The sequence below is a fragment of the Homo sapiens genome, chromosome 4, assembly GCF_000001405.40.
Source record: "Homo sapiens chromosome 4, GRCh38.p14 Primary Assembly".
NCBI lineage: Eukaryota > Metazoa > Chordata > Mammalia > Primates > Hominidae > Homo > Homo sapiens.
Window position 1 is genome coordinate 2,244,260 of NC_000004.12, and position 19,567 is coordinate 2,263,826.

General features: G+C 61.6%; 1 protein-coding gene and 1 non-coding gene across 2 annotated transcripts, besides 9 other annotated features; both read right to left on the minus strand.

Moving 5' to 3' along the window:
- Nucleotides 3,173-17,850, minus strand: MXD4 (MAX dimerization protein 4). Its single transcript, NM_006454.3, has 6 exons — nucleotides 17,658-17,850; nucleotides 17,466-17,565; nucleotides 13,723-13,752; nucleotides 8,149-8,263; nucleotides 6,825-6,987; nucleotides 3,173-6,442 (listed from the first exon to the last, which is right to left on the minus strand). The coding sequence occupies exons 1-6, from the start codon at nucleotides 17,719-17,721 to the stop codon at nucleotides 6,285-6,287; spliced, it is 630 nt and encodes a 209-aa protein (NP_006445.1). The 5' UTR covers nucleotides 17,722-17,850; the 3' UTR covers nucleotides 3,173-6,284.
- Nucleotides 5,818-5,897, minus strand: MIR4800 (microRNA 4800). Its single transcript, NR_039964.1, has one exon. It is a non-coding gene; the product is annotated as a microRNA 4800 (primary transcript).
- Nucleotides 12,855-13,013: a silencer, noted in NCBI's record as "fragment chr4:2258841-2258999 (GRCh37/hg19 assembly coordinates)". NCBI's record gives its function as "represses an EF-1alpha promoter that drives an FKBP-Casp9 reporter gene in an ReSE screen in phorbol 12-myristate 13-acetate-treated (for megakaryocytic differentiation) K562 erythroleukemia cells {active_cell/tissue: K562(+PMA)}" and the evidence as "EXISTENCE:reporter gene assay evidence [ECO:0000049][PMID:32094911]".
- Nucleotides 16,377-16,969: an enhancer, noted in NCBI's record as "H3K27ac-H3K4me1 hESC enhancer chr4:2262363-2262955 (GRCh37/hg19 assembly coordinates)". NCBI's record gives its function as "activates a minimal SCP1, AML or CMV promoter by ChIP-STARR-seq in primed H9 embryonic stem cells {active_cell/tissue: H9 hESC(primed)}" and the evidence as "EXISTENCE:reporter gene assay evidence [ECO:0000049][PMID:30033119]".
- Nucleotides 17,070-17,129: a silencer, noted in NCBI's record as "silent region_15159". NCBI's record gives its function as "represses an Ori minimal core promoter by ATAC-STARR-seq in GM12878 lymphoblastoid cells {active_cell/tissue: GM12878}" and the evidence as "EXISTENCE:reporter gene assay evidence [ECO:0000049][PMID:35858748]".
- Nucleotides 17,140-17,529: a silencer, noted in NCBI's record as "silent region_15160". NCBI's record gives its function as "represses an Ori minimal core promoter by ATAC-STARR-seq in GM12878 lymphoblastoid cells {active_cell/tissue: GM12878}" and the evidence as "EXISTENCE:reporter gene assay evidence [ECO:0000049][PMID:35858748]".
- Nucleotides 17,620-17,679: a silencer, noted in NCBI's record as "silent region_15161". NCBI's record gives its function as "represses an Ori minimal core promoter by ATAC-STARR-seq in GM12878 lymphoblastoid cells {active_cell/tissue: GM12878}" and the evidence as "EXISTENCE:reporter gene assay evidence [ECO:0000049][PMID:35858748]".
- Nucleotides 17,730-18,569: a silencer, noted in NCBI's record as "silent region_15162". NCBI's record gives its function as "represses an Ori minimal core promoter by ATAC-STARR-seq in GM12878 lymphoblastoid cells {active_cell/tissue: GM12878}" and the evidence as "EXISTENCE:reporter gene assay evidence [ECO:0000049][PMID:35858748]".
- Nucleotides 17,730-18,862: a biological region, named in NCBI's record as "H3K4me1 hESC enhancer GRCh37_chr4:2264187-2264848".
- Nucleotides 18,201-18,862: an enhancer, noted in NCBI's record as "H3K4me1 hESC enhancer chr4:2264187-2264848 (GRCh37/hg19 assembly coordinates)". NCBI's record gives its function as "activates a minimal SCP1, AML or CMV promoter by ChIP-STARR-seq in naive H9 embryonic stem cells {active_cell/tissue: H9 hESC(naive)}" and the evidence as "EXISTENCE:reporter gene assay evidence [ECO:0000049][PMID:30033119]".
- Nucleotides 18,863-19,522: an enhancer, noted in NCBI's record as "H3K4me1 hESC enhancer chr4:2264849-2265508 (GRCh37/hg19 assembly coordinates)". NCBI's record gives its function as "activates a minimal SCP1, AML or CMV promoter by ChIP-STARR-seq in primed H9 embryonic stem cells {active_cell/tissue: H9 hESC(primed)}" and the evidence as "EXISTENCE:reporter gene assay evidence [ECO:0000049][PMID:30033119]".

Genomic DNA, 19,567 nt, shown 5'->3' on the forward strand with positions numbered 1-19,567 from the left:
CAAGGGGCTCCTTTATAGAAAGAGATCCCTGGAGGGCAGGAGGGGTGCACTCCAGAGCCCTGGAGGCCGTTCTAGAAACCCACTTTCCTAGTGACTCCTGGGTGGTTTCTTGGGCCACAAATTAATTCTCCATCTGATTTTGAATTGCTGACCATAGTTATTTGTTGGAAAGGTGTTTATGAGACCATAAAAGCCATAAAACCATTAAGTAAAAATTACAACAGTATCAGCCCCTGGAGTACAAATGACAAACACAATAGGTTTAACTATACAGATGTGGAAAGTTTTCTTCAGCTTGCCTTGGGAATTTAAGAAAGCAAGTATGTTACGTGTATTTCCAGGGTAAGCTTTCTTTTCAGCAGTCAAAATTATTTGGAGTTTTAGTAAGGTCAAAAGATAAATGGAACCCAGGAATTAATCCTCCCTGAAAAAGCCCATGAGAATATAATGGACTAAACAGACCTAAAGACAGAGCTGTGAGGATCAAGTGTTTTTGCTGTTTGCTTTTTCTCCTTCCTGTGGAAGCGATTTTCTCCTATTAGTATTAAAAAATATTTTAGGTTTTGGACAGTATCTTTTCTGACTGTTTTTAAACTTTAGAAGTAACAGTCAGATGCTAAAGATTATTTCTTTTAGATGTAGTTTTCCATGAATTTTGTGGGACTCTATTCTGCAAGCAATGGAGAATGGGGGCTGTTTTCAAGCAGGAGAGTGAATTCTCAGATGTGTGTTAGAAGCATAATTCTGCAAGATGAAAAATGACAAAAGGTGGTAAGAGACAAGATACAGGACCACTCTTGCAGCATGTAGGAGAGGAGGAGAGAGCTGGACAGAGAGAGCTGCAGGAGCTGGCAAAGCCTGGGGCCTGATGACTAGCCTGGGTCCGAGACACTCCGGGGTTTCCAGCTGAGTAGGGAGTGGCATTTCTTCCTATTCTTCCCACTAATCCTTCCTGTTAAGAAGAAAGTAGAAGACTATAGGGTTGGGAAAGAGTTTGTTTTCCATCCTGTTGACATTCATGTGACAAAGCGAGAACTCAGTCCCCAGACTCAGGAGCAGGTTTGGGTCAGCACAAGCCCAAAGGAGGTGACAGAGTTCATTCACCAAGGTGGCCACGTGGAGAGGGCCTTTGAAGTGGGGAGGAATGGGAACCACAAGGGCTGGCAGCAGAGCCTGGGACTGGTGGGGTGTCAGAAAGGGCCTCAGGACAGGAAGAGGAGTTGTGAACCCCTGAGGCTCAGCAGGCCAGTGGCATAACCATTTACATTCTAGAAAGATCCCCATGAGGCCAGTGTGTACAGGGCTGACCTGGCCAAGGACTAGGAAAGGAGGAAGGAGCAATGCGAGAAGGCCCTGTGGCGATTAGCCCAGATGATTCCAGCGCCTAATTTGGGTGACCATAATCTCAGCAAAAATGTGGTGGGAAGGGATATAGGGGGCTCAGGGCCCACTTCCCAGAGGAGGCTGTGCCTGAGCTGGTGAATGCAGGGAGCAGGTGGGAGTGGGGGCTGAAGCCAGGGCAGGGGTGGGCCGGACTGAGCTGAAGGACAAAACGCGGTGTTTCAGTTTAATCTGGAGGCCATGGGGACCCAGAGGAGGACTTTAGGGAGGTGAGCAAGGAGACCTTTAAGGTCATTCAGGCTGCCAAGAAGAGGGTGGGTAGGAGGCTGCAGGCAGGGTCCTACTTGGAGGGGGACTTGCTGTAACCCAACAAGCACAAAGATGGAAAACAGAGATGGACTCTGCTGGGAGAATCAAGGGCTTCCCAAAGGACAGGGGTCCTGTCCCAGGTATCCCACCCGCCAGCCTGGTGAGCAGGGGAGGGGTGCGTCTCCAAATCTCAGTGTGCCACCTGTGAGAAGGGCCCAGCATGATGGTACCAGGCACCAATCATACATGGAACTGGGCACAGCCCCTGGCACCTGCATGCCCTCGATAGAAAACGGTAGTGGTGATCCCAAATCCTAATATTTGGGATTTAAATGTCCACATTTACATGAATGGCCAAATCCTGGTGTCTCTGAGGCCCCAGCCACATTCCCAGGAGGAACTGCTTTCTTTCCTGGGGTGCCCCCGCTAATGGCCTCGAGGGCCCTGGGGCCCACACAGGTTCAACGATCCGGACTCTGCTGCTGGGGGTTAGGGGAGCTCAGATTCCTCCCTGAGGCCCCCAGCAGTTACCCTCCATGGCCACCCCACAACCTGCTGGCGGGTCCCACTGGGCCACCTCCAGTGCATAGCTGCCGTGTGCACAGTGTGGCGACCTCACACTCAGGACCCCCCGTATGACCACCCAGCTCCATCAATTCTCCAGCACTCAAGGCAGGCATGTCCTCTCTCAGCTGCCCACTGCTGGGGCCCCCAGGACTCCTCCCTGTGCACCAGGGTAGCTGGGCCCACACCCCCACCAACCCCGGCCCTCGGCAGATCAGAGGTCTCTGCTTCCAAGGGGGTTCCCTCCAAAAGGCCTCCCTGTGGGGGAGCGGGCAGCCAGCCTGGCTTGCTTGGGTGAGAACAAGGCCTCTTCTCCCCACTGCGTGAAGTCTCATCGCCTCACAACCACCCCGTGATGGGCACGACAGGAGCCTGTGTCTCCGTGGTCACCACCAGCACAAGGGGACAGCTGGCTACACCATCTCGCTTCACCTCAGCACGGCAGGTCCCCATGACAGGAAGCAGAAGCCGTGCCCAGGTAGTTCTGGGAACAGGTACAGAGCGATTCTCACAGTGCAGCTCTGAGAGCCAGCAGCCTCTGTGCAGAGGGCTCCTGGCTGGCACGGAGCACCCCAGGGAGCGGGCTGTCCTCGGCCAGCAGGGCCCCAGCACAAGGGCCAGAGGCAAAGTCCCAGTGCCTCTGGGACAAGAGCAACAAGAGCATCCAGTTGGCCAACAGGCCCATGGGGGCGCCCACCTCAACCCCACCTTCACCCAGCTCCAGGCGCCACAGCATCCAGGGAGGCAGCTGTGACGGCGGGCCCGGTGTGGTTGGCGGCACGGGGTGCCGTGCTCCGTCAGGCCTCCCAGGAAAGAGGCTGTGGTAGGGCAACGAGGGCCACGGCCCGAAGGCCACATGGCGTGGTGCCATTGGGCCAGGCTTTCTGCTTGGAGGCCGAGGGCAGGGCGCGAAGCACGCTGACAGTGACAACCACAGAAAGAGCCGGAGCCAGCAGGGTGAGATATAAAAATCTGTATTTATATTACAATGACATAAGGACACAGCACGGCCCACACGGTGGACAGGTGGCCGGGGGCCCCTTTCCCCCTCTAGCGCACGCCCCCCTCACCGGCACCAGGCCCTCGTGTGGCCCCCGACTCTGGCACGGAACCTGCCCTAGTGCCCAACATGGACCTGGGGCCACCCTGCTGGCCGAGGGTCAGGGTCCTCTGTGCAGGCAGTGGGGAGGGGGTCCCAGGTTCCCTGACAGAGGGAGGCAGGGCACGGGGGAGCCTGCCTCACCCAGCGGACAGCACGGGCCGGGGCAGACAGAGCAGGGACCCTAGGGCCACAGACCGGTACAGGGTTCCACCACCCGGGGACACAGGCCCAAGCACCGTGCCACTAAGATGGGGTCTGCAGAGGCAAAGCCTTGCTGCAGCCTCTCCCACTCTGCGAGGATGGCGGGGGTCTGCTATGTGGTTTGCGGGGGTTATCCTGGTATGCGGGAGCTGCCTTCCAATAAGGCTGGGGAACCCAAGCCTGAGTCTGGGTGCTCAGTGGCCGAGAGCACTGGTGTGGGCTGGGAGGGCACACGCAGAGGCTCAGGAGCCCCGGGCTCTGTTCTGCTTCTGTCTGCTCTCTATAGACACGGTGATGGCCTCTTGGTCCCTGCAGCCTCCAGTGATGGCAGCCTGGGCCCCTGACAGGGAGCAGTGGGAGGTTGGAGCATGTGGTGACTCCTAGCACGGGCCCCCACCCAGTGGGCAACCCCTCACCCACCTGCTGATGGCAGGGAGGGGCAGCTGAACAGCACCCCGGGTGGCTGAGACTGCCTCCCAGTCCACGTGGGAACCACGGCCTCAAGAGCCACAGGCTGAGCTGCCGGGAGGGTGGGCTGAGGGGCCACCACTGGTCACCGGGTGGATTCTGCTGGTCAGAGATGAGAGCAGAAGCCCCTAGCTGCCTCAGGCACTGGAGGGTGGGGCAGGGAGCTGGTGCTTCAAGAATTGAGGGCAGGGACACGACCACCTCAGGGCCCTGCAGTGCTGGCTGGGGAAGCAAGCTTTTACACACGGCCCGCCTTGCTCGGAGGTGCCACGGTGTTTGAAATGAAGCCTGGGGGGACAGACTCAGGCAGGCAGGGGAAGCTCCTTTCTGGGCACCCCTGGACCCCAGTGGGGCCGGAAGGAGATGCAGACAGGCCTCCTCACAACCACCCGCAACGCGTTCGGATGCCCCTCAGCTCCAGGCACCATGCCCCCTACAGCCTGCAGGGCAGGTTCTGTGCCAGAGTTGTTTCCAGGGACCCCCTTCCGCCACAGTGGGCCCCCCATCCTGGGGCGTCTATGCGTACGACTGAAAATAGACACGAATTTTCCCCATGATATGGGAATTGGCTACAGATGTACCAGAGGCACGGCAGGCACTGCTATGGGCCAGCCCCAAGGACAGAGGACGTCAGGAAGGAAAGGCGGGTGCAAGCCTCCTGGTGCCAGGCCTGCACCACCCAGCGAGCACAGTCTTCATTGGCTGCCAGTGTCTGAAACCTGGAACCCTCGCCTAGGCCAGGAAGCAGGGGGCTCGAGTCAGGTGACAGGTGAGAATCCATCTCTCTAGTGAGCAAGCAGGCCCCTGCCAGCCACTGGGGAGGGCAACACTGGGGACCAGGTCACAGCCCCTCCGTGCCACCCACAGGGGCCTGGCTGCATCGCCTCCAGGAAGCCCTGGCTGCCGGGAGGGGCTGCCCACAGGAGATGGGAGGACAGCACTAGCTGGGCAGGCCTGGGGCACCCTGAGCCACGAGGGACATGCTGGTGGGAAGGGCAAGGCCTGACACAAGACACAAGGCACACTTTGACGACGTGACGGAGGGACAGGTCCCTGAGACGCTGGGTGGCTCCCACCCCTCAGCAAACAAGGACGCAACAACAGCTAGGAAAATAGAATACAAAAATCTGGTACAGGAAACAGAGGCGGCACACACGGACGTCCCTAGGCCGAGAGTCTTTAGGCTTTCTTCTTTTTAAAAATGGTTTTTTTTTTTTTTCTGGGAAAGCCTCTCTGCCAGCTGAAGCTGCCGCAGCAGAGCTCATGAGAAGCCCTTTCCTAAGGTGGCTCCAGGAGCCCTAACCGGGCTGCTGGGCAGTGCAGCATTTTACTTTTTTGCTTTTTGTTTAAAAAAGGGAGATGAGTAAGCCCCCGAGGACCCAGCGGCTGCAACTTAACCAGCCTCCAGTTCACCCCAGCCCCAGCCAGGAAGAGAAGCCCCTCTCCTGTGCAGACAGGCAGGACTACTGGGTGGGCGTGGGTGAGCAGGAGCTAGAGGGGGATCCAGGCACAGCCCAGGGGCTGTTTGCCAGATGACCCCTGAAGGCCATCATCCCCAGAACATGTGACCTCGGGACGCCCAGGTGTGTCTGCATGTGTGAGCATGTACATGAGTGGGTGTGTCTAGGTGCGTGCGCGTGTGCGTCTGACAGTCCTACCAGAGCAGACGCTGCCCAGCTCGGCGTGGGCTGGGCTGGCCTGCCTGGCCCCGAGAGCCCAGCCCTAGGTTCTGACACCTGCGAAGTGGGAAGGACCTTAACCACCCACCTGCCCCAGGTGCTCACCCAGTTCCCGCCCTTCACAGACCCCTTGTCCACGCCAGGAGCCTATGTGGACTGACAGGTAGGTGGACAGACGGACGGATGGACAGACAGCCTTGCCTTCCTTCCTTCCTCGGTCCACTCCTTTCTCCTGGGATCCAGGGTTGGGGTCTGAGCTCCCTGTGGTGGTCATTAAGCCCCTCACACGGCACCTGCCGAGGTTTGCAGCAATGACGTTTAATACTTCTGGAATGATTAGGAATCTGAGAACAGACCGTGGGCGGCTATGCTGACCAGGGCTCCGGATGTGGAAGCTGGGCCCTGCCTCCTTGCAGGGGACTCTGCCCAGCTGGAAGGGGCAGGCAGCTCGGCAGGCCCTGACCGGCAAGCGGGCAGTGCCAGGCAGCCCAGCAGCAGCTGGAGCTTCCAGAATGGCACAGCAGTGGGCCTGTGGAGAGGCTGGCGTCAACTGAAGGAGAACTGGAGGGCTGACACGCGTGGCTGGCGGGCAGGCAGGCCAAGGAGCAGAGGGCACGGGCCTACGAGAGGGCGGGGCGGCCCAGCCGCCGGCAGTGGGGCCCGAAGCCACTGTCGCCGCCGGTGCCACTCTGCAGGCTGTAGTGGTCGTCCGCGTCACTGCTGCTGCCAACACTGTCCAGCTCACCAGGGCCAAACTCCATGCCCTCTATGTCCACTTCTAGGGAGAATAGAGTGGGGATGGGGTCAGGCCACTCTGAGGGTGCCAGCCCATTTCTCCCTTTTCTGGAAGCAGAAGCTCTAGGCAGAGGGGCAGAAGTGCGGAGGGCGCTGTCTGGGCCCTGGGGCAGCAGACGCCAGGAGGGCTCTGGCTGAGAACCCGGCCTCAGAAGCACCAGTCCTCAGCGGGCCACACAGCCTCTGCATCCCACCCTCCCTGTCCAGTCCCTTCTGCGCTTAGTGACAAACACACACCCCAGTGCAGCAGGGAGCTGGGAGGGTTCTCCCCAGCCCCAGCACCAGGCACCTCCTCTCCACCCAGGGAGCTGCACCACTGCGCACCCGGAGGCCCAGGTGAGGCTGCCCCGCGCCCCACGCCCCACCTTGCTCTGAGTCGTCCGTGGAGACAGCAGAGCCCGTGCTATCTGTGCGCACGCGCTCCACGCTCTGCACCGACAGCTGCTCCAGGCGCCGCTTCAGGAAACGATGCTCCTGCTGCAGCTGCTCCTTGATGCTCAGTGCCCGGCGGTCCTGCTCCTCCAGTTTCTGGGGTCGAGGGGGGCTGTGAGCTCACAGCGGGAAGAGGAGTCCCCCCATCCCCCTGGCCAGGCACTGGGGCACCCAGGCCTGGGCCCGGGAGGTTCCCCATCCCTGCCAAGACCTAGCCAAGGCTACAGGCCACAGGGTGCCCAGTCTCTGCCAGCCCCACAGCCTGAGGTGGGTCCCTCCCTGCCCCAGCCAGGCGGTCACAGTCAGATGCCACCTCCCAGCCCTGTGGTTTCTGTCTACGGCCCAGCTCTAATACCCGCAGCCACCAGGCAGCCTTGGCCAAGTTGAGCCATGTGTGGCAGCGGGTCAGTGCTACCCAATCTTTGGCTGGCACCGTCTCCAGGACAGTCCTGCTTACAGCGGGTCTCCTCACACACTCCCAGCCCTGCCCGCCCCCATCGGGCTGTGGCCTATGCCATGCCTGTCCCTGCAACACCTGTGCCCTGCCCTCTCTAAACCTTCCTGTGGGCCCCACTGAGACACTGCTTGCTCTGTGAGGGCCCCCAGGGCTCTGGTTGTGCCCCTCTCAAAGCTCCTGACACCCCAGCCTGAAGGTGACCATGCCTATGCAGGCAGAAGAGGCCCTCAGAGCAGATAGAGATTTGCCCTGGTTGGTCCAAATGTCACAAGGCCCCCAAACCAACAGGGCTGTCAAAAGTCCTTTGGGGGGCGGTCCCAGGGAATGTCTCCCTGAGCCCAGACCCACTGCCAGCTCCCGCTGCCCCAACCCCACCCTGGCACCCCCATCAGGCTGCCTACTTTTAGTCTGCCTTCTGATGGCACCCAGGAAACCCTGGCCCCCTCTCTCCTTCCAGCAGCTGCCTCTTCACAGCCCAGGACCCCAGAGAGCAATCTGTCCCCCGACCTCCTCCTCTCCATCCCAGTCTATGCTGCGATGCGGCTTCTTATGCCATCAGCACCCAACAAACCCGACACAAGCCACGGAACAGCCTCGACCCCTTGGCAGCTCCTGTTGCTGCTCCTCCACCCTGGCAAAACCCACCAGGCCCCCGACACACACCCGCCAGATGGCTCCCCACCCATCTTCAGGCCCTCTGATCCAAGGGCTGCCCAGGGTCACCTGTGAGCACCCCCCCAGGGCGTGCAGGGACACTGAGGCAGCCAGACAGGGCAGGGTGGAGAGCAAGGCCCACTCACCTTGATGTGCACCTTGGCCCGCTTCAGGAGGCTCAGCGTGGTGTGGCGGGTGCTGTCGGGGCCCAGGGGCACCAGTTGCTTGAGCTGCTCAAGGTACAGCCTGAGTTTGGCTCGTCTGAAAGAGCCAGAGACAGAACCATCAGGCTGGGGTGGGGGAGGGCAGCAGGCAGTTTCCAGGGCCCTGCACAGACCCACCCCCACCATCCACTGCTGCACATGTGCTGAGGGTCCCTCTCTAAGGATCCCCTCCTGGCCTGGTTGGGAACCCCCGTCCCCCACCCCCAGGAGGAGCCCAACACCCACAGCCCCCAGACACCTGGCAGAAGCGCCCAGCTCACCATGGCCTGCAAAGCCTCAGCGCGTCACCGCCAGGCATTTCCTAGGAGCCCCAGCTCGCCCCCCTGCCATCCCCCATCCCCCATCCCCACCCTGGAGTCCACATGCAGGGAGGGGTGGGGTGAGGCGAGGGTGCCTTTCAGGCTGCACCGAGATCTGGAAGGACCCAGACAAGATTCACGTCTCTCTACCTCATCGTGCACAACGTGCTCTCTGTCACTTTTGTGACCATGGAAACATGATCAGCCTAGGTCAAGGGAGGGCCAGGGACCAGGCCCTTCCAACCCAAGTTTCATATCCCTTTGGAAACTGCCTCATTCCAGATTCTGTCCCCGTATCCACAGATGAATCCACTTTCCACAAAACTGGAGCCATGACATCCAGTGGTGCTTGCTTGCTTGTTCACACTCAAGGGTACTTGCTCACATGCCACAATCCTCCAGGACACATTCATCGGGCACCTCAGGAGAGGGGCCCTGGCTTCATCCTAGGCCTGCCCCTGTGGAAACACCGCCTTCCCTGCTGGCCTGCTTGTCTGCGGGGGAGGCTGGTGGAGCTCACGGGGTGCGGGGAGCCCAGCTCACCCAGAGGCATCAACTCGGCCTGGGACCCTGGCCAGGCCCACGTGCACCTGCCTGGCAGTGCAGGGCACCCGGAGGTTTTGTCACTGCCATGTTCAACCACGGACTCACCCATCCCGTGCAGGCCGCAGAGGCTGCTTCCAAATATAGGACACTTTGATTTGGGTAAATCCTTACGAGTGGAATGACCAGGTGAAGGGGCAGGAATATTTTTTGTCTTTTGAAAACCTGCCGCCCAACTGCCCTGCCACAGCTGATGCCTACACACGTGACTTTCCCCACGTGGTGCCAACACTGAGCACCCCAGCCTTGGCATGTCTGCTCCTGCCGTTCCCAAGCCCAGCAAATCTTGTCCCCCTGGGAGTAACGTCGGCAGGGACAGCCATTTCCTCTGGACAGAGGAGGAGCCTGAAGAAGGAGGGGGCTGCTGGGTGCAGCGGTAACAGCCCCACCAGTCGGGAGGTCTGCCTGGAGGTGGCCTGAACAGGGCCAAGATCCTCAACGTCTCCCACGCTGTCTCCCATGCACAGGTGCAGGGAAAGGGGTCCCAGGCTGCCGCTCTGTGACTACCCCAGTGCCTGGAAGCTCAGCCTCCCCACCGCCAACAGGAGTGAGCGCCCTGCCGCCCCCCACCCCAGGAACTGTGTAGGCAAGAGGCCAAAGCGTGCTCTCTCTGCTCAGGGAGGGGTCCTTTCCCAAGGCGCGTCGCCACTGTACTGCAGCCACCACTGGGACGAGGTTTGCAAGTGGGGACGTTGCCAGGGGTCTCCTTCCCTGGTCCACTCTAGCAAATGGCTTTCCATCCCACCATGTAATTACATCAGCACTATATGACCTCTGTAGAACAATTTAAAAATGCAAATCAACAAAAAGGAAAAAAAATAAAAAAAAATTAAAAGTACCCCCGAATTCCACCACCCCAAAACAACCTCATTATCATTTTAGTGTGTTACATATGCACATCATGAATGTTAAGTGAAAAATTAGAATACGGAACCACATAGGTGACAAGTGACCCAATTTTGTTTAAAAAATAAAAGAGCAGACGCACACAAGAGACGACAGAATCAAACAAGGCACAGGGAGCGTGCGTCTCCAGGCGAAGCACCCGGCAATTTTATTTCTTTAGCTTTGTGCTTTTCTGTATTTTCCAGGTTTTCTACGCTTAAAAAAAAACACACACAGACATTGCTGTGACAATCAGAGAAAGACACGTTTGCACAAGAAAGAAAAACACAGCTGAGAGACAAAGAACAAGTAGAAAAATCTTTGCAATACATATAAAAGACAAATGGTTAGTATTTGTGGTATTTTGAGCTCATACACATCAAAAATTAAAAGCAGAATGCCTCGATGTCACAACGGGCGAAGGACACAAACAGGCTGCAGGACACGAGGGCCAACCTAACCTAACGCCCGGCTCCATCTCACCCGAGCCAGGAAATGCACACACAAACAAGGAGGTACAACTTGCACCCTCCGACAGGCTGACATGAGAAGGGATGGCTCCTGCGCCAGCCACTTCGAGGGGTCGTTGATGGTTTGCTGGTGGGAGAGCAAAAGGGGACACAGGTCTGAAGGGCCATCGATACAGTTATCACTGACCGCCAACCAGCATCTCTACTTCTAGGGCCTTGGTCCTACAAAACTATCCCCCCAGATCCACAAAGGTCTGCGCTCACCAAGGCACATCGCAGGACTGTCCGGAAGTCCCTGTGTAAACCAGAGGGTCATCACAAAGAACGCTGGTGGCACAGCCAAGTGTCCTGTGCAGTCATCAGGGATGAGAAGGTGGAGGAGTGTGCCCTGACGCAGGCGGACAGGACTTACGTACGTGGTGTCGGGTGAAAGATCAAGTGAGGAAATGGAGAACAAGGTCCCCTCCTTATCCAAGTCTCATCGGCAATGTTAGTGCCCGCGGGGAGCAGTGGAGGATGTGGCTCAGCCTCTGAGTGCCTGGGATGCGGTCTCTGGGGTGGGGTGCAGGGGAGGTCCGTGAACAGACCGCTTTAGAAATCACGGAACACCTTTCTCGAGAGACAAACAGAAGCCATCTGACCACACACACGCACTGTCCAAAACCCAGTAACAGGTCCACCTGGCCCAAGAGTGTGGGCGCCAGGGCTGGAGGCCACAGAAATTCCTGCCCTGGAGAGCAGCAGTGGCCTGGAGCCAACTCTACAGTGGCTGGTTGCGGGACCCCAGGAAGATCCCCACCCACCCCTCTGAGCCATGAAGCCCCTCAGCCCGGGGCTGCACTGGGCTCCTGCTGAGCCCTCCCCTCCTGAAGCCGCTGCAGTGCCCTGGGCCCCCTGCCAGCACCCCACGGCTGTCCCTGGGCATCCAAAGGGCTTTTAAAACCTCCACTTCCTGAAGGAACCCTGTGTGGATTCAGGAGGCAGAACCCGCCTGCAGGACTAGCACGCTGGGCTGGTATCGACAGCAGCCCCACCTCTGACGCAGCACTTCCCAGCTCCCCCAAAAACCCCCATGCCCAGAGGGGGACCCAGGGCACCGAGAGGGCATGGCTCCACGCCAGCATCCCAGCCAACCAGAGAGCCTGGCTGCCGCTGCCGGGGAGCTGGGGGTGGCCCAGGAGCAAGCGTGCCTCCCACTCCCTCTGCCTGCGTTTTCTAGATGTTGCCAACAGAACTTCCCGAGGTATGTGAAAGCCGTGTGAGGCTGCACCAGCACATGAGGCTGGGCTGCAGGGGGCTCCTGGGGACCTCCTGGACGTGCCTGGGGGAATGTGGGGCAGAGACTCAGCTGAAGACTCTGGACTGGCCTTTGGGATGGGTCCTGCCATTCAGCGGCTGTCAAGGGCCAGGAAAGAAGGCTGGGACCTTCCCCCAAAACACACTAAGATCAGAGCCTGGAGTGGGGCCAGTGAGGTCAGCAGCCAAGAAGGCGAGGCCTCCACGGTCCCCAGGACCCTGGGGTTGGCAACGGCCTCAGACCTGCTGGAGCTGCCTCTCTACAAAGGGATGAGGAGCAGGGCTGGGCAGGCTTGGCTCAGAGCACCCACAGGGGAAGTCCCACAGGCCCTGCCCAGTCCCCAGTAAGGGGACAACTCCGGGCAAAGCGATGTCCAGGGCCTGCCTCCCGGGGATGGCTGGGTGGCCCAGCCAGGGGCTTCCTTCCTTTCTCAAGACAGCACGCAGCCCTTCCTGCAGCCAAGAGCAGCTGGCATCAGGTAGGCTGTGATCCAGGGCCCCAAGCTCCAGGCCTGTAGGTGCTTGGGGCTGTCCACATCCGCCTCTTGGCCAGCCAGAGACAGAGACCCCCTGCACTGGGGTGGGGGAGTCCACAGAGACACCCTGGCTGCCCACACACCCCTCCTCTGTGTCTCAAGAAGGCCCCATGAGGCCCTGGCTAAATGCAGCCTCTGGGAGGAGAGGACAGAGGGCAAAGCCAGGTCAAAGGGCAGCTGCAGGGGTCCCCTGTCCTCCCCAAGGGCTGCCACGCCCTTGCCACCCACCCTCCCCCAATGTCACTGCCCCTTAATCTGTCCCCATTGGGGGGCTGTCCTCCCAGGGACCGCCTCCAGGAAGCCTTCCCTGAACACCCCCACGTGCCTGCCCCGGCTCCTGGGTCCTGGTCAAGGCTAGGCTGGTCTTCTTAGGCCTGGAACAATTCCAGGCCTGCCTGGTTCTCTTGGGCCCTGTACCTGCCCCCACCTCTGTGGCCTCTAGGGAACCCCCCGAAACACACATGACCTGTCCAGGAAGTGCAGTTCCTCAGAGAACACTGCGTTCTGTCCCTGCCCAGCTGCCCGCCCCAGCCAGCGGCCTGAATCCCGGGAGAACGGAAGTTGGTGCTGCTGTGGGGGTAGACATGGTGGGGAGGCGGAGAACTGGCCGAGCACCAAATCTTTCTGGAGGGGACTGTGGGGGGCTCAAGCAGCACGCAGACCTGCCCCACTAGGAAGGGAGGACAGAGCTGACCCATTTCACAGACAGGATCACAAGTCAGGAGAGAGCGAAGGACCAGCATCCCTCAGGGGACTCTTCCTGGTCCTGGCATGGGGGCTCCTGCCTCTAGGGCTGCCTCTGCACTCACCCAGGGCTCCCGCTGCCAGCCCCTAGGCCCCTGAGCTCACCTGCACCTCATCCCCACCAGCAGAGCTGAGCCTGCAGCCCTAGCTGCCTCCGGCTGTCACCAGGAGGAATGAACACCCCGCAGCTTTACTCAAGAGCTCGCCTGAATCCTGCCCTAGGCTGGAGCTTCCCAGGCGGCCAGGGACTGGCTGCCCTCCATCTGCCCCTCGGACAAGACTCTAGCACGGCTTCTTGGAAGGCAGACCCCAGGATGCACAGGGCAGAGAGCCGAACCCTCCTGATTGGAGACCACTGTCCTGAAAGCCAAGGGCCCTGACTGTCACACAGCACAAGGGGCCCTGCTCCACATCTCTCACCCCCACCTGGATGAGCTCTGGAAAGCAGGGCCTGGGCCTCCTGCCATCTCCTGCCTCTAGCACAGAGTGCCTGAAACAGACCTCAGCCTTCTCCTCCAAGTCTGACCATTCCCAAGACAAGGACACAGCCTGGCAGCACGGCTGGCCGTGCCCGGGACAGGGGCAGGCTCAACGCACCACACACCCTCAGTAAAAGGGTGGGCCAGGTGTCGGGCTCATGTGGGGAACTGGGGGGTCACTTACCTGTGCTTTTCTAGCTCGTTGTGTGAAGACCTGTTTAGAAAGACAGAAAGACAGAGCTCACTCTTCTGCCTGCCCACCAGGGCACAGAGAGCAGTGCTCTCCTAGGGGGCCAGGACCTGCAGACAGTGGCTGGCTGTGTCTGGGTCCTGGAATGGCCCAGAGCAGTGAGGCCTGGGGCAGGTGAGCAGTTGCCCACCCAGGGTGGGGGGAACCACATGCTAAGGGTGGGCGCTGGTTGTCAGCTTTGGGTACTCCGTGCCGGGGGAGCCGCAGCTCACGCCCTGGAGTTCTCCATGGGTCAGGGACTTGGTTTGGTGAGAAGCAGCAGCAGGGGCCAGCCTTGCTTACAGGGAGGCCCAGAGCTGCAGGCAGGTCCAGGGCGCCCAGGGCCACCAGCCCACCTAGCAAGGCCCGTGGTGAATCTGGCTGACAGGAGGACCTAGGCCCCCTTCCAGAGGGATGGGGGAGGCCCAGGGAGCAGCAACAGGTCCTGGCGCTGACCCCCACCAGCCACCTGCCTTCCCTGCTCCCCAATCCCTGAGGCCAGCTGTGTCCTTGGAGCCAAAGCAGCCTAGCACCCGGGACAAACAGCAGGTGGAGATGGAGCCCAGAGACCAGGCCCTCAGGACACAGGTGGTCCTGTCCTGACACCACCACTCTCTCGGGCTCACACACCTGCGTGACCACAGCCCACCTTACCAATGGGGACCAGGGACACAGCAGCGTCAGCCAGGTCAGCCCATGAGGGGGCTTCTGAGATGTGGATGCTTCCCAGGCCAGTAGGCACAGGGGGACACTGAGGCCAGCCCTCCCACTTCCCTCAGGGGCTGTGCTAGCAGGATGGGCTGCCCTGGAGGCCCGGGCTCAGCTTCTCTGGGGACAGTGGCCCCACCTGCTGCTCACCTGTCTTGCCCATTCAGACGCGGGCACACAATTCCCAGCACCACAGGGTGTGCCACAGCATCTGCCTGGAGGATAACGAGGCAGGGGGACCTCGCTCCCAGCTCCAGGCCACCTTCCGTGTCCAGGCAGGACCCCACAGGCCAGCCAGGGCTCCCGGGCCTCCCAGGATGCCGCTGCACAGGTGGGCAGAGAGCTCAGACTGCCTCGGGGCACCTCCAGACCCAGCCCTGAGGCCTCTCCCTGCCCTCAGGACCTGGCTCCTTCCTGAAGCTTCTTGCTGACCACTGCCTGCTTCAGGAACTTGGGATCTGGCGTCTCCTGTCCCAACCACTCAGGCCAAGGGCCTGCCCCTCCCACCCGCTGCACCAACAGGCCCTGGGCCTCCTTGTGTAGCCTCAGCAGAGCCTCCAGACCCAGGTCTCAGGGTCCGGGAGGGCCTGTTGGTCACATGGGCTGGACAAGGAGCCTCCGAATCACTGCCAGGGCCAGCCAGGGCCGACCAGGGCCAGCAGAGGCCACAGCCATATGCTCCTCACTGGCCTCACAGAGATAGGCCCCTACGCCAGCGTTTCTGCTTCCCCAGAATAGGCAGGCCGCAGGAATGAGCCGTACTCTCTGTCCTCAGCCCAAACTGCAGCCTGGCCACGTGGGTCTGTAGTCAAGAGGGAGGTCGGGGTCAGCAGGTGCCCTTCAACATAAAAGCCTACCTGCCTACCCCTTGAAGGGTGGCACGGGGCTGGACCCCACCCTGGAGGCAGGGGGCCCTCCTCCAGCAGCCAGGGCCCCTCTTGCAGCTCCTCCTGGGCCCAGAGACCCTTGGGGTCCATCGAGGGGGATGTTTGCAACATGGGTCCCAGGAGCACTCTATCCCTCAGGAGAGGTGGGACCTGTCCCCGCTGAGGCCAGGCCAAGTGCGTTCCCAGCATTCCCGTGACCCCAGGAGACAAGCACACTTCCCACAGAATGGACCCCCCTGCAGGCTGGCCCCAGTGCTCTGCCGCCTCCCTCAACCCTGACACTGTCCTCCGGCCCCACTCCCTACCCTTGCCCCAGCCTCACTGTGCCATGTCCCCTCCCTCACCTTGGCAGAGCATGGAAGCCTCACAGGTGGGGACAAGTCAGGGGCTCAGAGATCCTCTGGCCCCCTGCTCCGCCCAGCTACTTGTCTGGGCTGGCTGAGGAAACCTCCAGGGCAGTGCTGCCCACCCGAGGAAGGGGCCAAGCCGCCAGCCCTGGGCTGCCTCAGGCCCCGGGGGAGCGGGGCTCGGCCCAGAGGAGCCAGGGGAGATGCACCAGAGTTGGGGAGCCCTCTGTCTCCCTCACCAGTGCCCCCATGGTCTCTGTCCCAGCAGAATGTGGACAGCTGGGACCCCATCTCAGGAACAGGCGTCATCAGAGATGGGTGAGTGGCAGGCAAGTAACCAAACCTCTCCTTGCCTCAGTTTCCTTGGCCATAGAGATAAAAATCACATCACCTCTCTGAGCCTGGGGTGAAGATGAACTGGCTGCATGTGTGAAACGCTCAGCATAGAGGCAGTGTTCGGGCAGCCTTGGCCAGGACGCTGGTTGTCAGCTTTGGATTCTCCATGCTGGGGGAGCCCCAGCTCACGCCCCAGAGTTCTCCACGGGTCAGGGACTTGGTTTGGAGAGAAGCGGCAGCGGGGGCCGGGCTTGCTCACTGAGGAGGCCTGAGGCAATGGTTCCCTCGTCACACTCCTGTCCTTCCCCAAACTGTCCCCAGTAGGGGACCAGGGGCTGGGACTCAGGGACGGGTCCCAGCCAGGGCAGCTGGAGACTCAACCAATTCCTCGCCTGGCTCAGGATGCCACAGAAATGGGTCCCTACACCAGCCTTTCGGATTCCCTAGAACAGGTGGACCACAGGAATGAGCCATGCCCTGGGGCTCTGAAGCCCCCTACAAACGCAGCTCCCAGCCTGCTCACACAAAAGGGCTGGGCCAAGGTGGGCCCAGACAGGACCAGGTGTGCTATGGTCCTCACAGCAGCCAGGAGGGTGGAAATCCCCGGGGAGCCCCGGCCCAGGGTCCCCACTCCCCACGCGGGGGACCTGTACGCACCCCAGCTTCAGGGCTTCTGCTGCCTGAACACGAGGTCAAGGTATGGAGGGCGCAGCTGGCACCCGTAGTAACGACTTCATGGGGCCCCTGCCCTGCAGCCTGCCCCCTCCTCCCGCCCCCTTAAAAGGCCTCTGTCTTAAAAAAGAGGACCCCCATACTGGTGGCTGGAGTTTCGCTGTGTCAGGAGGCTGGGCAGAAGCGGTGGGCACCCTGGGAGGAGTGAGGGCCCAGGACAGCGCCTCCACTCGCTTCTCTGTCTAGGCTCCTGGGGGCGGGGGAAGGTGGCCGAGCAGCAGAGTTCGGCTGGCAGAGCCAGTCGAAAGGAGGCCGCCCACCCACCCGCGGAGAGAAGGGGTTAGGGCCGGCAGCCCCCGCAGACCCTGGCTGAGCCTGTTTCCCCAGACCCACGGGGCACCGGCCAGCGCCCGCTGACAACTTTTCTACCGCCTGGAAAAGTCCAGAACAACTCGGGGGCGGGGAGCGGGCGCGGGAGCGGACCCCGGCGGCGGGCGCTGTACGCGTGGCACTGTTTACGCGAGCGGCCCGGGAGGCGCGGCCGCGGGAAGATGGCGACGGCGAGGGCGGGGCCGGCCGGGCGGGGCTGCGGCCGCGGCCTGCGCGCCTCCTCCTCCAGGCTGGCCGCCGGGGCGCGCGGCGGCGGCGCTGAGGGCCGCGGGCCGGGAATCGGGGCCCGGAGAGCACGCTCCGGGCGGGGGCGGGGGTTCGGACCGGGCCGGGCGGGGTCGGGAGCGGGGGGCGGTACCTGTTGTTCGGGGCCTTGCGCACCAGGCCGGCCGCCTTTGTTTTCTCCCTGGCGAAGTCGCCGTCGAAGGGCAGCACCGAGGCGTAGCCGTGCTCGGCCTCTGCGGACACACGGCGCGGTCAGCGGCCCCCGCCCGGCACGGCCCCGCCGCCCGCCCACCGCCGCGGGCGCACAATGGGGTGCGAGCGCTACCTCGATCCCTGCGCTCCAGGTACTCGGCCGCCTCCAGCAGGATCAGCAGGGAGTTCAGCTCCATCCTCCCGCCCGCGCCCGTCCGCCCCGGGACGGCGGCGGCCGCTGCCCGGCCCGCTCCGGCCGGCTCCGCTCGCCGCCCACCCCGCGCGCCCGGCCGCCGCACTTCCAGACTCCGCGGACTCCGGCGCTCGGCCGCCACCCTCCGCCTCAGGCCCTCAAATTGACACATAAGGGAGAGCGGCGGCCCGCAGAGCCAATGGGAGGCGGCGTTCGCGCCCCGGGGGCGGGCGCCGGGCCGGGCTGGGGCCAATGGGGACGGGTCGAGCGCCTCGGGCCGGGCCGAGAATGTTGACAGATGCAGAGCTGGGCTGGGATAGGCCGGCCGCGCTAGTAACAATTTAGAAGCCCGAGCTTAGCAACAGCACGTGGTGGCCCGGCCCCCGCGCTAGCTGACTGGCGGCCGCCGTGCATGTTAAGTAGGCGCCGCGCGCCGATTGGCCAGAGCGGCCTATGTAAAACAGGCACTGCGAGCCAATGGCCGGTGGCGGGGCGCGCGGCCAATGAGGGCGCCGCAGCCGGACGCGTTGCCGAGAGGAAGCGCAGCGCGCGGGGACCGCCCGCCGTCCTGGGGGCCCGTTAGGACGCAGGAGCGTCTCCGCTACGAGAGCGAAGCAGGGCGCTCCGGGGCGTGCGCCGGGCCGGGCCGGGCCGCCGGGTCTGAGCGCGACGAAAGCAGTGGCTGCGTGGGGGGACGAGGCCTCGCGCTCTGCCCGGGGGTCTTGCGTGGGGCCGTGAACGACTCCCCTCCCCGCCGGGCGCAGAGTGGCCCCGGGAAGGGCCGGGACCTCGGAGAGGGACGCAGACGCTCTGATCCTAAGAGCCAGGCGTCTCTGAGGGTGTCAGTGGGGAAACAGGCCCAGAGCGGGCGGGCTCCTCAGATCGCCCAGTGGACGCCGGAGCTGAGGGAGGGCCCAGGTCTGGGGAAGGGACACAGACGTGCGGCCAGAGTCGAGAGGCTCCCCGGAGTGGGGGGCTGCATGCTCTGTGTCTGGCCTGAGGGGCAGGGACGTTCCTAGAGGCAGGCGCTGGCCACCTCTGGCCGAGGACGCCCTAAGTGGGGACGGGAGTGAACCCTTCATCAAATCCCAGCTGGCGGGTCTCCCTAGTGACCCCTGACCCTAAGGCTGGCCCAGACTGGCCTCGGCACCCCCCACCCTCTCGCAGATTTTTTTTTTTTTTTTTTTTGAGACGGCTCTGTTGCCCAGGCTGGAATGCAGTGGCGTGATGTCAGTTCACTGCAACCTCCGCCTCCCGGGTTCAAGCGATTCCCCTGCCTCAGCCTCCCAAGTAGCTGGGACTACAGGCGCGTGCCACCACGCCCAGCTAATTTTTGTATTTTTAGTAGAGATGGGGTTTCACCATGGATGGTCTGGATCTCCTGACCTCGTGATCCGCCCGCCTCGGCCTCCCAAAGTTCTGGGATTACAGGTGTGAGCCACCTCGCCCGACCCATCTCACTGATTTGATTTTTGAGGTTGGTGGCCTGGATGTGCCAAGGGCCAGGCCCCGCAGGCTGGAGAGTGTGGAGGCATAAGGTGGCTGGACCCCTCCAGAAGTACTCAGTGGGACACAGGGGCTGCTGCTGGCAATGAAACTGAACAAAAAATGCAAAACCTCAGCACCAGGACTCCTGTGAAAGCTTCGTGTGCATCTCCCTGTGTTTTGCATGCCCGGCTTGCAGATCAGGACATGGGACTAGACGCTCAGGGATTTGCTGGGGTCTCCCAGAAATCTCAGCAGAATGGAGATTAGTGCTGCCACACACGGCTCAGGGCTATAGGAATGCAGAGGCCAGAGCCTCCTGGCCTGGCTGGTCCTGCTGGGTGTAAGCCTGTGGTGTGGGCTTC

Bases quoted from the DNA above. Each gene is read 5' to 3' on its own strand.
- MXD4 (NM_006454.3), bottom strand. From the start codon at position 17,721: ATGGAGCTGAACTCCCTGCTGATCCTGCTGGAGGCGGCCGAGTACCTG. The intron at 17,566-17,657 runs GTAGCGCTCGCA...GTGTGTCCGCAG, and splicing joins CCTGGAGCGCAGGGATCGAG to AGGCCGAGCACGGCTACGCC. The intron at 6,443-6,824 runs GTGGGGCGTGGG...TATTCTCCCTAG, and splicing joins CACGGACGACTCAGAGCAAG to AAGTGGACATAGAGGGCATG.